Source organism: Homo sapiens, chromosome 4, assembly GCF_000001405.40.
Source record: "Homo sapiens chromosome 4, GRCh38.p14 Primary Assembly".
Classification (NCBI taxonomy): domain Eukaryota; kingdom Metazoa; phylum Chordata; class Mammalia; order Primates; family Hominidae; genus Homo; species Homo sapiens.
In genome coordinates, this window is record NC_000004.12 from 118,690,458 (window position 1) to 118,705,221 (window position 14,764).

Consider the following 14,764-nt stretch of genomic DNA (forward strand, 5'->3'; position numbering starts at 1 on the left):
CACTTGAGGTCAGGAGTTTAAGACCCTCCTGGCTAACATGGTGAAACCCTGTCTCTACTAAAAATACAAAAAATTAGCTGGGCATGGTGGCACACGCCTGTAATCCCAGCTACTTAGGTGGCTGAGGCAGGAGAATCGCTTGAACCTGGGAGGCAGAGGTTGCAGTGAGCTGAGACCATGCCACTGCACTCCAGCCTGGGCAACAGAGTGACTCTGTCTCAAAAAAAAAAAAAAAAAACACAAAACTTTGGGTAATTGATTGGATCAGATTTTGAGAAGCTGCAGTAGCTTTGGATCAGATTTTGAGAAGCTTTTTTGAGGAGTTGTTATTCCATGTTAACAATATTGGATAGTATAATCAAGATATTTTTAGGATTTATGGCCTGGACTACATTGTAGAAATATTTCTGAAAGAGGCTCAAGAAAAACCCAACTTCTAACTTGTAATTGCAATATTTAGTTGAAATAGTTGAAAGTATTATGGTCCAAAAAACTTACTTTTGTTTTTTCAAGTTAATTGTATATAATAGAGATAAGAATGTATAGTTTCAATAAAATCTCTAGAAAGTTCAGTGAAATAATACCTAATCTCGTGAATATTGTCTTATATGTTGCAGTTCTGATAATATGTAACTTAAATGTTTGTGACTTTTTTTTTTATTAATTAAAATGTTAGTGATTATTTTAGGTGGAACTATATGCAGTTGCTGATATTCTAACCTTTTTGACCTTTAAGCATAGCAGTTTCATATTGCAACATTGGTGGTCGTATCTTTCATGACTCAAACTAGACTCTAACACTTATAGTATTGTATATGAGATAAATAGTTTTAGACAAATCAATCAGCAAAATAGTAGTTACAGTAATTATTTATGATAGGAAATTTTTTTATGAAAATAATCAGCTAGCTAGATCTAATAATGGGAAAGCAAAGACTTCAATGTTTGATTTTAATGCTAATTTAAAACATTTATTAAATCTTAAGGAAATAAAATATGTTGAGTTTTAATCAGGATGTGATAGAGAAATAACCCCTATTTGTAAAATATTTACTTAATCTTATGTTTTTCAAGGATGAACTAGAAATGCAACAGGATGAAGAAAATTTGCCATATGAAGAAGAGATTTACAAAGATTCTAGTACTTTTCTTAAGGTAAAATAAATAATTTTCAAATTTTGTAACTCTTCATATTTAAGTTCTATACCTGAAAAGATTTTAAATACCTGTTTGTCTTCAAGATGTTTTTTAATTATTGAGGGATCATTGTTATAAAATAAAGATTATTTAAAATTACTCATGAAATAGTCTTCTGATATTTGGCTATTTAGTGTGAGGTAACAGTATATTAATATCAGTAGCTACTGAAAAGTAATAATTTTAGTTGTATTTTCAAATATTACTAATTTTTAAATCTATCAATTGATTGCATTTTATATCACCTTGTAATAGAAAACAGTACAGAGATAATTTATCTGCCATTACAATGCATGTTACAAATTTAATTTTGTTTTTTAATTTAGGGAACACAGAGCTTAAATCCCCATAATGATTACTGCCAACATTTTGTAGACACTGGACATAGACCTCAGAATTTCATCAGGGATGTAGGTATGTCAGGTTTGTTTGGACTACGCTATTGCTGACTCTCAATTACATGCATGTAATTTATCCAATTTGTGGATATTTCTAACAAAATTATTTCTCCAGCTTGACATCTTTTTTTCGTTCTCAGTGCTTCTGGTATACCTTCTTTTTCTTTTCTTTTCTTTTTTTTTTTTTTTTGAGACAGAGCCTTGCTGTGTTGCTCAGGCTGGAGTGCAGTGGGGTGATCTCTCTTGGCTCACTACAACCTCTGCCTCCCAGATTCGAGCGATTCTCCTGCCTCAGCCTCCCAAGTAGCTGGGATTACAGGCACCCCCCACCGTGCCTAGATAATTTTTGTGTTTTTAGTAGAGACGAGGTTTCACCATGTTGGCCAGGCTGGTCTGGAACTCCCGAGGTTTCACCATGTTGGCCAGGCTGGTCTGGAACTCCTGACCTCAGGTGATCTGCCTGCCTCAGCCTCCCAAAGTGCTGAGATTACAGGCGTGAGCCACCGCTCCAGGCCCTGTATACCTTCTTTTTCTATAATCGATATTACTATTTTTTTGTTTGTTTCTTTTTGGCTCCAGTTTGGTATTATGCCTATTCTTGCATTTTAGACAGATTTATTGAGATAATACTTACATACTGTACAATTCACTCAAAAGAGTTTTTTTTTAATGTATCCACAGAATTGTGCAACTATTTTCACAATCTATACTAGAACATTTGCATCTCCCCTAAGGAAGCCCTGTACCCATTAGCAGTCAGTCCCCATTTCCTCTCTCTCATCTACCCCTTCTCAGCCTTAAGTATCTGCTGATCTACTTTCTATTTCTATACGTTTGCCTATTTTGGACATTTCTTGTAAATGAAATTATACAATGTGTGGTGGTTTGTCACTGGCTTCTTTCACTTAGCATATTTTTAAGGGTCATCGATGTTGAAGCATGTGCCTGTACTTCATGTTTTTAAATTGCCAAGTAATATGCTATTGTATATGTTTACCTTTCTGACAACTACTCTCTTGTGTTTCCAAGCAGCTGCACGATTTTACATTTTTACTAACAACGTATGATGGTTCCAATTTCTTCACATCTTTGGCACTTACTATTATCTGTTTTTTATTGTAGCCATCCTAGAAAGTGTGAAGTAGTATTTTACTGTGGTTTTGATTTGCATTTGCCTAGTGACTAATGATATTGAGCATCTTTTTTTATGCTTATTGGCCATTTAAATATCTTTTTTAGAGAAATATCCTAATACTTTGTGTATTTTTAAATTATTTCACTGTCTTTTTACTATTGAATAACAAGAGTCTTTTATATATTCTCTTTGTGTGTGGGTGTGGGTGTGTATTTTTTACATATTCTGAGTACAAGTCTCTTAACCTGATGAATAATTTGCGAATATTTTCTCGCATTCTGTGGGTGACTTTCTTGATAGTATATTTTGTAGCACAAACATTCTATTTTTGATATAATCAAATTTAGTTTTTCCTTTGTTACTTGTAAGCAACATTTCTCTTGAAGTAGAGAAACTAATTTTAATGTTTTTATAAGCAAAATGTAGATGTAGCATAAAAATTTATGGTTAAATTGTATAACCAGATTTAGATATAAACTGCTCTGCTCTTAGGATACCTGCCTCCCCAAGGCAAAGAAAACATACTTAGAAAACTATTACAGATTGAGGAAAAGTTGTACCTTCTGTTTTATAGGTGATTAGAAGCTGACTCTGCTGTCTTGAAATTTGACTATAATAAAATCTTCAAATTCATTAATTGAAATGTGATCTGCAACCACTGACTGAGGAAGCTTTACAAAATCATTTTCTTTTTTTCTTTGATATTAAAGTTACTAATATTTGTACTTTTGGTTTTTAAATTAGGAAGTTCATATAATTTATGTTGTTATAAATGTGCTTCCTGTTTGGGAAGAAAAGAAACACTCATTTTCTTTGCTTTGAATAACTATCCAAGAAATTAAGTAAAAATCTTAACAATCAGGTTCTTTAGGATAAGGATTTTTTTTTTTTTTTTAGCTAAGAGGAAGGGGGAAAAGAATCACACAAGAAAGGTAGTTGTTTTTTTTTTTTTTTCCTGAATGTTAAACTGGATGCTAGGGGTAATGGTTTAACTTAATAAATATGTGATATTAAGTGGCTTATTGACTTGGACTGGGTTTTAGAACATCTGGGTTTTTACTTGCATGTCATTAGTTATGAAATCTGCATACATATTATTTAAAATTATTAGAAGTTAAGCTTCCTTAAAAGATATGAGTCAAGTGGCATGTGTATTATTTTGTTTTCTTGGGAGGGCTCATAACTTTTGAATTACTGATATTAACTTCAGTTGAGATGAATTCAGAATTTACTATTTTTTCTGCTCAGGTTTAGCTGACAGATTTGAAGAATATCCTAAACTGAGGGAGCTCATCAGGCTAAAGGATGAGTTAATAGCTAAATCTAACACTCCTCCCATGTAAGTGTTTTTATTCAATTACTGTTTATTCCCAACTCAGGCTTAAAGTATCAGTTTGTTTATCCTATAACCTTTTTTCTTCTTCCTAAATTCAGCACTTATGTTAACATGCTTTATTACTCTGTTTCTTCTCTCTGCCTTTTTGTTTTTTAAAGGCTGGTGCTCATTATGTTGCCCAGGCTTGTGTCCATCTCCTGGGCTCAAGCAATCCTCCCACCTCACCTGGACTACAGGCATTTCAGCCATCACTCCTGGCTCTATTTTTCTTTCTTTCTTTTTTTGTTTTGAGATGGAGTCTTGCTCTGTTGTCCAGGCTAGAGTGTGGAGTGTAGTGGCGCAATCTTGGCTCACTGCAGCCTCCGCCCCCTGGGTTCAAGTGATTCTCATGCCTCAGCCTTCTGAAGAGCTAGGATTACAGGCACGCACCACCATGCCTGGCTAATTTTTGGCACACACCACCATGCCTGGCTAATTTTTGTATTTTTAGTAGAGACGGGGTTTCACCATGTTGCTCAGGCTGGTCTCAAACTCCTGACCTTGGGTGATTTGCCCCCCTCAACCTCAAAATGCTGGGATTACAGGCATGAGCCAGCGTACTGAGCCCTATTTCTTCGTTATAGCAAAAATGTTAATTTGAAGCTCTGGTGCTGAGTTCAGAGGGGGCTCTCAGTTTTTTTTCAGCTTTTCAGATAATTTGCTTAAAGTGCCTCTAAATATTTTTTCTTCTTAAAAGTCATCCAAGTCGGGCATGGTGGCTCACCCCTCTAATCCCAGCACATTGGGAGGCTGAGGCAGGTGGATCACCTGAGGTCAGGAGTTTGAGACCAGCCTGCCCAACATGCTGAAACCCTGTCTCTACTAAAAATACAAAAATTAGCTGGGCATGGTGGTGCACGCCTGTAATCCCAGCTACTCGAGAGGCTGAGGCAGTAGAATCGTTTGAATCTAGGAGGCAGAGGTTGCAGTGAGCCGAGATCGCACCATTGCACTTTAGCCTGGGTGACGGAGTGAGACTCCGTATTCTTGATAGCTTACTTAAAATGCCTTTAAATGACTTCTTGTCAAGTAATTTGTTTGTTAAAGGAAGCTTAGAAAACTTAGAGTCAGGAAAGGAAGAAAACAAATATTAATTACAGCTTAGCATTCTGAGATACTATTCTTAACAATTTGGAATATGATAATTCATTTCAACCGTTGCTAAGCAGAATAATGTTTTCCTCAGAAATGTATATGAGATCTTTGAAATTGGAGAATTTAGCTTTGAAGGTTTTGTACATTTAATGATATGATAAAATGTATTTTGGGCCGGGTGCGGTGGCTCACACCTATAATCCCAGCACTTTGGGAGGCTGAGGTGGGCGGATCATTAGATCAAGAGATCAAGACCGTCTTGGCCAACATGGTGAAACCTTGTCTCTATTAAAAATACAAAAATTAGCTGGGTGTGGTGGCGCACACCTGTAGTCCCAGCTATTCGGGAGGCAGAGGCTGAGGCAGAAGAGGTGGAGTTTGAACCCAGGAGGTGGAGTTTGCAGTGAGCCGAGATTGTGCCACTGCACTCCAGCCTGGCAACAGAGTGAGACTCTGTCTCAAAAAAAAAAAAAAAAAAAAAAAAAAAATTGTATTCTGTAAGTCATTAGAAGCACCACAGAATGTTTTAGTATGTGGAGAGGAAGTCTAAGTATACTCTAATATTCATCGTATTTTAAAATACACCTTTACTTTCTTGCTTATTTACTTATTTATTTATTTAAATAGAGACAGGGTCTCACTGTCTCTATTTTGAGACCAGGCTGGTCTCAAACTCCTGGGGTCAATTGATCCTCCCACGCTGGCCTCCCAAAGTGTTGGTATTATAGGCATGAGCCACCATGCCTGGCCTAAAATACACCTTTAATGAGATGTTAAGGTGGGAAGATCACTTGAGCCCAGGAGTTTGAGATTGTAGTACTGTATAATCAGGCCTGTGAATAGCCACTGCATTCAGCCTGAGCAATATAGTGAGACCTTGTCTCAAACAAACAAACAAACAAACAAACGAAAACCCATTTACATTTAAAGTATTTTAAATTTAAAATATTTTCATGCTATGTGACAATAACTTTTCAGTAAAGGCCAGTAATAACTTATATTAGGTAGCATGAAAAGACTCTTAATAGAAACATTTTTACTAATGAAAAAACTAATAAAAGAAAACTATATGAAAACTATGTTTTGGGGGAAGAATTTAAAGCTTACAGAGAAATGGGTTTTCTAACTGAACAATTGAGAATAAAACAATGTGATATTCCTTAGAAAATTCAGATGAGAAGGGAAAGGGGTTCAGAGACACATCTGAGTATGGATTTTTAATATTGAGAGAAGAATATATTCTGGGTGTACATGGGGAAAATAGGACTTTTACTATGTAGTTTAATTACGTTCATGTCTTAAGAAAGATCACTGGTAGATCGTTTAAGTCTATACTGAAGAAAAAAAGACTCAATAAAAAGGCCTTTAGTAATTAGGTTACTGATTACTTTGTAAATAGTGTTTAGTAATAATGTTTAGTGATATCTAAGACATTTCTTTCATTACCATCTGTTAAGGTACTTGAAAATCTTATTTAAAAAGCATTTTTTTAAAAACCTCATTTTTAATGCTTTAATCAAATAGGTACTTACAAGCCGATATAGAAGCCTTTGACATCAGAGAACTAACACCCAAATTTGATGTGATTCTTCTGGAACCCCCTTTAGAAGAATATTACAGAGAAACTGGCATCACTGCTAATGAAAAATGCTGGACTTGGGATGATGTATGATCAAACTTTCTACATTGTAATGAATTATTTATTTTCAAATGAATATGTTTATTTGGTCAGAAAGTGAGATAATAAATATCATCCCTACTTTTGTAGGGATTATAAATGTAGATTTATAGTGTAAATTATAGCTGAAGGTCCAAGGTACATTGACTAATATTACATTATCTTTAATTTGAGCCTTCTTTTCAAGGCAAAAATTGAGCAGATAGCAAGTGAATAGGCTGTAGAAGACTTAAAATTTTGGTCTTAGAGTCCTTGGCTATATAGTTAGAGAAGTTTAAAAACAGATGGAATGATTCATAATTCATTCTGCATTTGATTAGTTTCAGTAAACATCAGAGCTTGTTTATGTATATAAAAACATGATTTCTACTCTTTAAACAGCTTACAGTGTAGTAAAGTATGGATAAACACCCTGTATGGACACATAATTACAATTTTGTTGATTAAACGATGGAGTCCTGCATAAGATGACATGAGAGCAACTGACCAGTCCTGGGTAGATGGGACATAGGAACATAGAGGAGGTGACACCTGAACAATATAAATAGATTAGTTGGAATTAGCCAAGAAAGATGTGGGACGGCGGTTACAAGCAGAAGGAACAACAAGAACAGAGGGGATGGAGGCAAACGACTATCTGGTTGTGGGGTGGAGGTCCTGTATGTAGGTTGGTATTGTTGGAACACAGATTGGGACTATCTTGAGGTGATGTGTTAGGAGTTGGGACTTTTATTCTGAAGACGTTAATAAGTCTGAAGAGTTTTAACCAGTTTAGTAAAAAGGTCAGATTGGTGTTTGGAAGCTGGGCTAGAGTCTGGGAAAGAATTCTGGAAAAATGGCCAGGTGTGGTGTCTCATGCCTGTAATCCCAGCACTTTGGGAGGCCGAGGAGGGTGGATCACGAGGTCAGGAGTTAGAGACCAGCCTGACCAACATGGTGAAACCCTATCTCTACTAAAAATACAAAAATTAGCCGGGTGTGGTGGCACGTACCTGTAATCCCAGCTACTCGGGAGGCTGAGGCAAGACAATAGCTTGAACCCGGGAAGCGGAGGTTGCAGTGAGCCAAGATTGCGCCATTGCACTCCAGCCTGGGCGACACAGCAAGACTCTGTCTCAAAAAAAAAAAAAAAAAAAAAAAAATTTTGGAAAAAGGAGAGCAATTAGAAGACTCTTTCTTAGAGTAACCTAATGCTGAGATGAAGGGACGCTGAATTAGGGTAATAGTAGGAATGGAAAGAAGGTGATACATTCAGCAATGTTTAGGAGGTAGATTTAGTAAGATTGAGTGATTGGGATGAGGGGAAGAGTTAAGGATAACTCAGGGTTTCTATCTTGGGATAGGTGGATTGAATTATCACCAACTGAGAGTGAGTTTCAGAAGATGAGCAGGATTAGAGAGGTTAAATAATACTGAACAAGTTGATTTCTAGGTATATGTGAGACATTCAAATGGAAGAGGTCATAGGAATAAAATATGAAACTCTAAGGACAGGCAGATCTGGTTTCAAAATACATATTTTAGAGGATTATCACATAAAATCCATGTAAATAGATGAGTTTATCCTGGGATCGTGTCTCAGGATAAAAATGTGGACTGACAGTAAAGCCGGGAAAACATTTACATTTAAAGACTACATATAAAAGAAATTTAAAAACGAGTTGTTCAGTGATGAATGAAGAGAACCAGGAGAGTATGAATGTAATGGAAACCAAGGGAACAGTGAGTTTCAAGGAGAGTGTAATCAGGACCGTTCTGCATTTCTAGAAAAGATGTGGGGCAAGGAAAGGACTGAAACTGGAAGACGTGTTTCTTAGGAAACGGATTAGAATCTTTGCATGTCCCTTTCTGAGTTAATGGTAGTTACTACTCTTAATAATATCTATTTTTCCAAGATTTACCTCTAATTCTTCCTCTTCCTTGAAACTTTTCCTATTAGCTTTAATACTCCTAGCACTTTTATTTATATTTGTATGGCTCCTATAATGTAAAAGTTTTTCCCCTTCCCTGTTTAAAGTGTTATCTGTGTTTATTGTTGAAAAATCAGAAAAGTGCACAGAATGTGGTATTTCTAAGACTTAAGATTAGAGACTTAATGCTCTTGATATTTCTTGCAGAGAAGTTTTCCAGATAGGTATAAATTTACATTCCTTTCAGTAGTGTTTAAGAATGTCTAGTTAGCCATATCCTCATTAAAGTTGAATATTAATATTAAAAACCATTTTTTATCAGTTTGCTCAAAAGAAAAAATTTAAACAATGAATCTGATTATGTTCTTTATTAATAATTAGGCAGAATTTTGTTTTCTCTAGCCAATCCGTGAGGTTTCAGCAGTGAAGGTACAAGAACTTCAATTATATGTGATAAACTAATACAGTTTTTAAAATAAAGAAATTCTATTTTATATGCAAATTCTTGATTTCAGTTTAATTTCACTGTACTTCAACTCTGGCTGGCATACTGAAAAATTTTGTCTGGCCCCAGAGCCCTAAGTTCTTTAACTTTTATGAGATACCGTCCTGAAGGAAGTGCCAGTAGTTAATGTAATAAACAAAATGTAAATAAGAAAAATGTTTGGGTTTCACAGGTATTCTTTTTCATGTTAGAGAGTCGGTAGTGGTCATTGTGTTTTACTTAAGAACACAAGCATTAAAGTACCAACACTTAACTTTTAGAATTAGTGTCAAAAGAGAATAATTTTTTTTTTTTTGGCATTTGAGACTCAAAGTAGTAATCGTAGCAAAATATGTATATTGATTTATTGAGAAGTTCTTCTGTAGACACTGGATATCACAGTCCTCCCGAAACATTTATTGTTATATTTTAATTTTAATTTTGTCCCTAACATTGGGCTTAGTTAAGTGCTTCATTCTTTTTCAGTAAATGATAAAAGATTGCTGGAGAATCTGTCTCAAGCTCCATCTTAAAAGATTGCATAAGTCTATAGCTATTGTTTCCTATAAGCTCTTTCCATATAACAGCAAGTGTATATATGTATATATGTGCACAGGTGTGTATGTTGTTTGTATATAAAGTAACAAAACAATAGAACGAGTAATTTTAAGGATAACATTTATTTTCTGTTAGTTCCTAATGGAAACTAATACACTTAAAGAACACATCTATCCTAATAAATCTTAATTGTTGTTCTTTTGGATTTAGGATGAATGGGAAACAAAATACTTTTATGCAATATCGTTTTGATTTCTTACAGATTATGAAGTTAGAAATTGATGAGATTGCAGCACCTCGATCATTTATTTTTCTCTGGTGTGGTTCTGGGGAGGGGTTGGACCTTGGAAGAGTGGTAAGATGGTGCTTTTATAAAGTGGATTTTTAAATTAATAAGAAAAAAATGTAACAGTATGTTGCATAGGATGTTTGAAAGTGGATGTTATTTTGTCCTTTGTTTCTTAAATAATTCTAAAATAGTGAGAAAAAAAAAATGTCCAGAAAAGAACGTAAGAAAGGCAATACTTGTAAGTTAGTTTACCAGCACTAGGGAGGAATGTGTAGCTCTTTCAAAAGACACTTCATTACAAGTACAGGAAGAGAACAGCTTAAAGATTTGAAACTCCAAATTATACCTCAAAAATGAGCTGCTTGGTATCATTTACAATTCTTTATGAGTAGCTAAAAAGTGTTCTATGAGTAGCTAAAAGTATTCAGGAGCATTGGCTCCTGAAATCCAAATGGAAGTCAAATAAAATTGGAAAAGTAACACAGCATATGGAAGACATGAATGAATGAGAAAGAAGTTATAATACCTGAACTTATTTTAAGTATCTGATATTTAATTGTATTTCACAGCTTTTTTATTTTTATTTTTTTATTGGAGTTTTTTTTTGTTTTTTTTTGTTTTTTTGAGACAAGGTACCAACTCTGTTGCCCAGGCTGGCGTGCAGTGGCACAATTGTGGCTTACTGTAGCCTCGACCTCCTGGACTCAACTCAAGCAGTTTTCCCACATCAGCCTCCTAATAGCTGGGACCACAGGCACACCACCACCCCTGGCTAATTTTTTTAGTATTTGTAGAGATGAGGTCTTGTTATGTTGCCCAGGCTGGCCCCAAACTCCTGGGCTCAAGGGATCCTCCCACCTCAGCCTCCCAAAGTGTTAGGATTACAGGCATGAGCCACCACCCCTGGCCCTGATTGGCCTTCACCAAAAGGAACAAAATAATATATATGCTGTTTTAAACAAGAATAACAACAGTATTATGACTAGGTATCAGGAGTCTTAATTTTGCTCTCAATTCAGCTGCTATGCTGTAACAGTAAGACTTTGGGCAAAAAGATACTCACTCTTGAGGGTCTCAATTTTGTCACATTTTATTGGTTGACACTTCGTTTTTATGACATATTATTTATTATACACCAAACTATCTCATTTAATGATTCCAATTTGGGGAGGTATCCATTTGACAATTGAAAAATTTAAGTAGGATTATATGAGATAATAAGTATGATTATATGGAAATAAGATTGTGCCCAAATTCTGAAATTCTACAATTACTGTATATTCTTTATATAAATAGTAAGGCTGTTGGGTAACATCATTGCTTCCATCATTTATTAACTCCAAGGTAAACTATAACTGTGTTTCAGTTGGATATCTCCATTTTTTTGGTGTTGGCTCTTCAAGATGCTATAGAAAAGTAAGAGCGAAACATACATGTTTTTATAGGTATATTGGTGTTTACTTTGTTTTAACTTTAATATCTGACTTTGATCTTTCCTTTCATTCCCCAAATTAGATTGAAAATGATTAGAAGGTTTTTATCTTTTTTTTTTTTTTTTTTTGAGGCAGAGCCTTGCTCTGTCGCCCACGCTGGAGTGCAGTGGTGCGATCTTGGCTCCCTGCAAAACTCTGCTTCCCAGTTGAAGCAGTTCTCCTGCTTCAGCCTCCTGAGTAGCCATCCAGGAGGTTTTTATCTTATTTACTTAATGTAGCAGTTTATCATACTGGTGAGAGTTCGGCGAAAAATGATTTAAAAAATAATTCAGCATGAGAAATACTCATGAGATTTTGATAAATTAGTGGATTAGGGCATGTAGAATTTAGGTCATAGTGATGTTAATGACACCTGGTGCAAAATAAATATTTAGTAACAGGAACAGATATTGATCTTGATTTTGGAGATTTTAAAATAAAATTCTGCTGGGCGCAGTGGCTCATGTCTGTCATCCCAGCACTTTGAGAGACAGAGGCGGGCAGATCACTTGAGGCCAGGAGTTCAAGACCAGCCTGGCCAACATGGTGAAACCCCATCTCTACTAAAAATACAAAAATTAGCACAGCATGGTGGCACGTGCTTGTGGTCCCAGCCACTTGGGAAGCTGAGGCATGAGAATCACTTGAACCTGAGAGGCGGAGGTTGCAGTGAGCCAAGATTACCACACTGAACTCCAGCCTAGGTGAGACTCCATCTCAAAAAATAAAATAAAATAAAATTCTGAGTTTCATTTTGAGGTGTTATCTTACATTACCCAATAAGCATTCCTGAAAAGTGTATGTTTTATACTCTATCTTTTTTTTTTTTTGGTTCAGGGGGAACTCCCAACAGGATTTCCTGTGGTGGAAAGGAAGCTTGTTGGAAGGTTTTATTATTATTATTATTATTATTATTATTATTATTATTATACTTTAAGTTCTGGGATACATGTGCAGAACGTGCAGGTTTGTTACATAGGTATACATGTGCCATGGTGGTTTGCTGCACCCATCAACCCGTAATCTACATTAGGTATTTCTCCTAATGCTGTCCCTCCCCTAGCCCCCAACCTGCCTCTACTATATCTTGATATGTACTTGATCATCATACCAGCAATACTGTACTTATTTGTTTATTTTTCCCTCCTTTACTCTTAAAGTTGATGGGGATAGGGACTGTGTCTTATTCATGTTTTTATTTCCAGCAGCTAACCAGCACTGGCATATGGTAGACTTTCAGTTGTCACTGTGAGCAGTCATTTAGCTGGTATTTGTTTTATGTTAATGTATAACAGCTTCTAGGACATTAAGGTTCACATCTCTGTTTTCTAGATTATATAGAGATGAAAGTACCATTTTACCCAACAAAGAGATACACGTAACAATTTTAAGTTTGAACATTTTTACAGTTGTATTAAAAATAGAAATAAGATTTTATAAGACTCTCATTTGAAGTTAGCGTTTAGAAAATTTTCAATAGTATGTAGCTTTGTCAGAGAATAGAATATTGAGTTGGCAGGAATCAAATTGTGTTTTGGATTGTTTTGTGATTACAGAAGGTCTGAGTGCTTACAATTTAAAACCCCATGTCCATTGATGACAATAGAATGTAGAATTGGGAGATGATGTAATCCTTTCTATGTTTTGATATTTAACTATATATATGACATTGATATCCAAAAGATATATATGCATTCCGTATTATGGCTATGTATTTAAAGACTGGCATTTCTTTTTATATTCTACACTGAAACAAAATTACCTTGAAACCTTGGAATATAGTGTCTGAAACCTCTAGAAAGTTTTTTTTAATGCTGGTTGTTATTGTTAAGTATTGTTTATTTCTTTAAGTTAAGGATTTGTGTTTAAAATTCTTTTGTTTCTAGTGTTTACGAAAATGGGGTTACAGAAGATGTGAAGATATTTGTTGGATTAAAACCAATAAAAACAATCCTGGGAAGACTAAGACTTTAGATCCAAAGGCTGTCTTTCAGAGAACAAAGGTATTGCCTTTACTGATTTGTTTTTTTTAATTTTTGTGATTTTCTCTCAAGCTTTTCCAAATAACTGTATACTGTTTAATTAACTTCAGTGAAAAGGTCCTTTTCTTAGACTTGTAAAGACAGCATTGAGCATTACAGGAATACATCCAAATTAGTTTTAAAATGTTTTATTCATTATCTTAGATCAACCCCACCATGCTAGAAAGGGGAGTATATATTCCTCCATGTCCTAAATGCCATATTTCTAAGTTAGATAAAGGCTTTTGATCACACTCACCCGCAGAATTTTTCTAGGCTCAGAAAGAAGAGATAGCAAGATCGCAAGACTCGAGTTGGCCAGCTTAGAGACGTATTTCTCTCTTCTTTCCTTCTTTTTCCTTTACAAGAACCCCTGAGAACTTCTGTTTGTTGTGACTCTGCCCTGCTAGTATCAGGCTTTAACAGTTTTTGTTCTTACTTTTTAGGGAGCCTCTGGTGGGAGGGTCTTTCTTATTAAGTCTTTTTTGTACTGGAATCATGCCTAGGTAATGAAGCCTCCGTAAAATCCCAAGATGGGTTGGAGAGCTTCTGGGTTGGTGAACCTGTGGAGTTTCTGGGACGGTGGTCTGCTTGGAGAGGGCACAGCAGCTCCATGCCCCATGCCCCATGCCGCATACTTTTCATTATGTGTCTCTTCCATCTGGCTGTTTTTGAGTTGTATCCTTTTATAATAAATAGGTCATAGTAAGTAAAGAGCTTTCCTGAATTCCTCGAGCTGTTCTAGCAAATGATCTAACCTGAGGAAGAGGTCATGGGAACCTCTGATTTATAGCTGGTTGGTCAGAAGCACAGGTGACAATCTGGACTTGTGATTGGTATCTGAAGGTGGGGCATTCATGTGGTTCTCAGCCCTTGACCTGTGGGGTCTGCACTAACTAGGTAGATAGTGTCAGAATTGAATTGAATTATAGTGTTGATGGAGAAGTGGAGAATTGCTTGGTATGGGAAAAACCCACACATCTGGGATCAGAAGTGAAGTATTCTGAAAATACTGAGTGTTGTGAGTGCGTAGAAGAGTTTGTTTTTCTTATTTACATGGCAGTCTTTCCTCATCCAGAGATCCAGGTTTTCCTGTTGTTTTGTTGCCCATAGAACTGTATCTCACCAGAAATGGTGGCTCACTTCTGTAAT

At 35.7% G+C, this 14,764-nt stretch overlaps 1 protein-coding gene across 2 annotated transcripts in view; it reads left to right on the forward strand.

The window, feature by feature from the left end:
* METTL14 (methyltransferase 14, N6-adenosine-methyltransferase non-catalytic subunit) overlaps positions 1 to 14,764 on the forward strand; it is a 30,039-nt gene that overhangs the window by 5,066 nt on the left and 10,209 nt on the right. The window contains exons 4-10 of one of the 2 annotated variants that reach the window (XM_047416029.1): positions 1,075 to 1,155; positions 1,524 to 1,611; positions 3,979 to 4,069; positions 6,725 to 6,866; positions 10,093 to 10,185; positions 12,429 to 12,478; positions 13,478 to 13,594. In XM_047416029.1, the coding sequence (XP_047271985.1) occupies positions 1,075 to 1,155; positions 1,524 to 1,611; positions 3,979 to 4,069; positions 6,725 to 6,866; positions 10,093 to 10,185; positions 12,429 to 12,478; positions 13,478 to 13,565 (633 nt within the window). In that variant the 3' untranslated portion in view covers positions 13,566 to 13,594. The remainder of the gene's footprint in view (positions 1 to 1,074; positions 1,156 to 1,523; positions 1,612 to 3,978; positions 4,070 to 6,724; positions 6,867 to 10,092; positions 10,186 to 12,428; positions 12,479 to 13,477; positions 13,595 to 14,764) is intronic. The other variant, NM_020961.4, reaches the window with a different exon arrangement.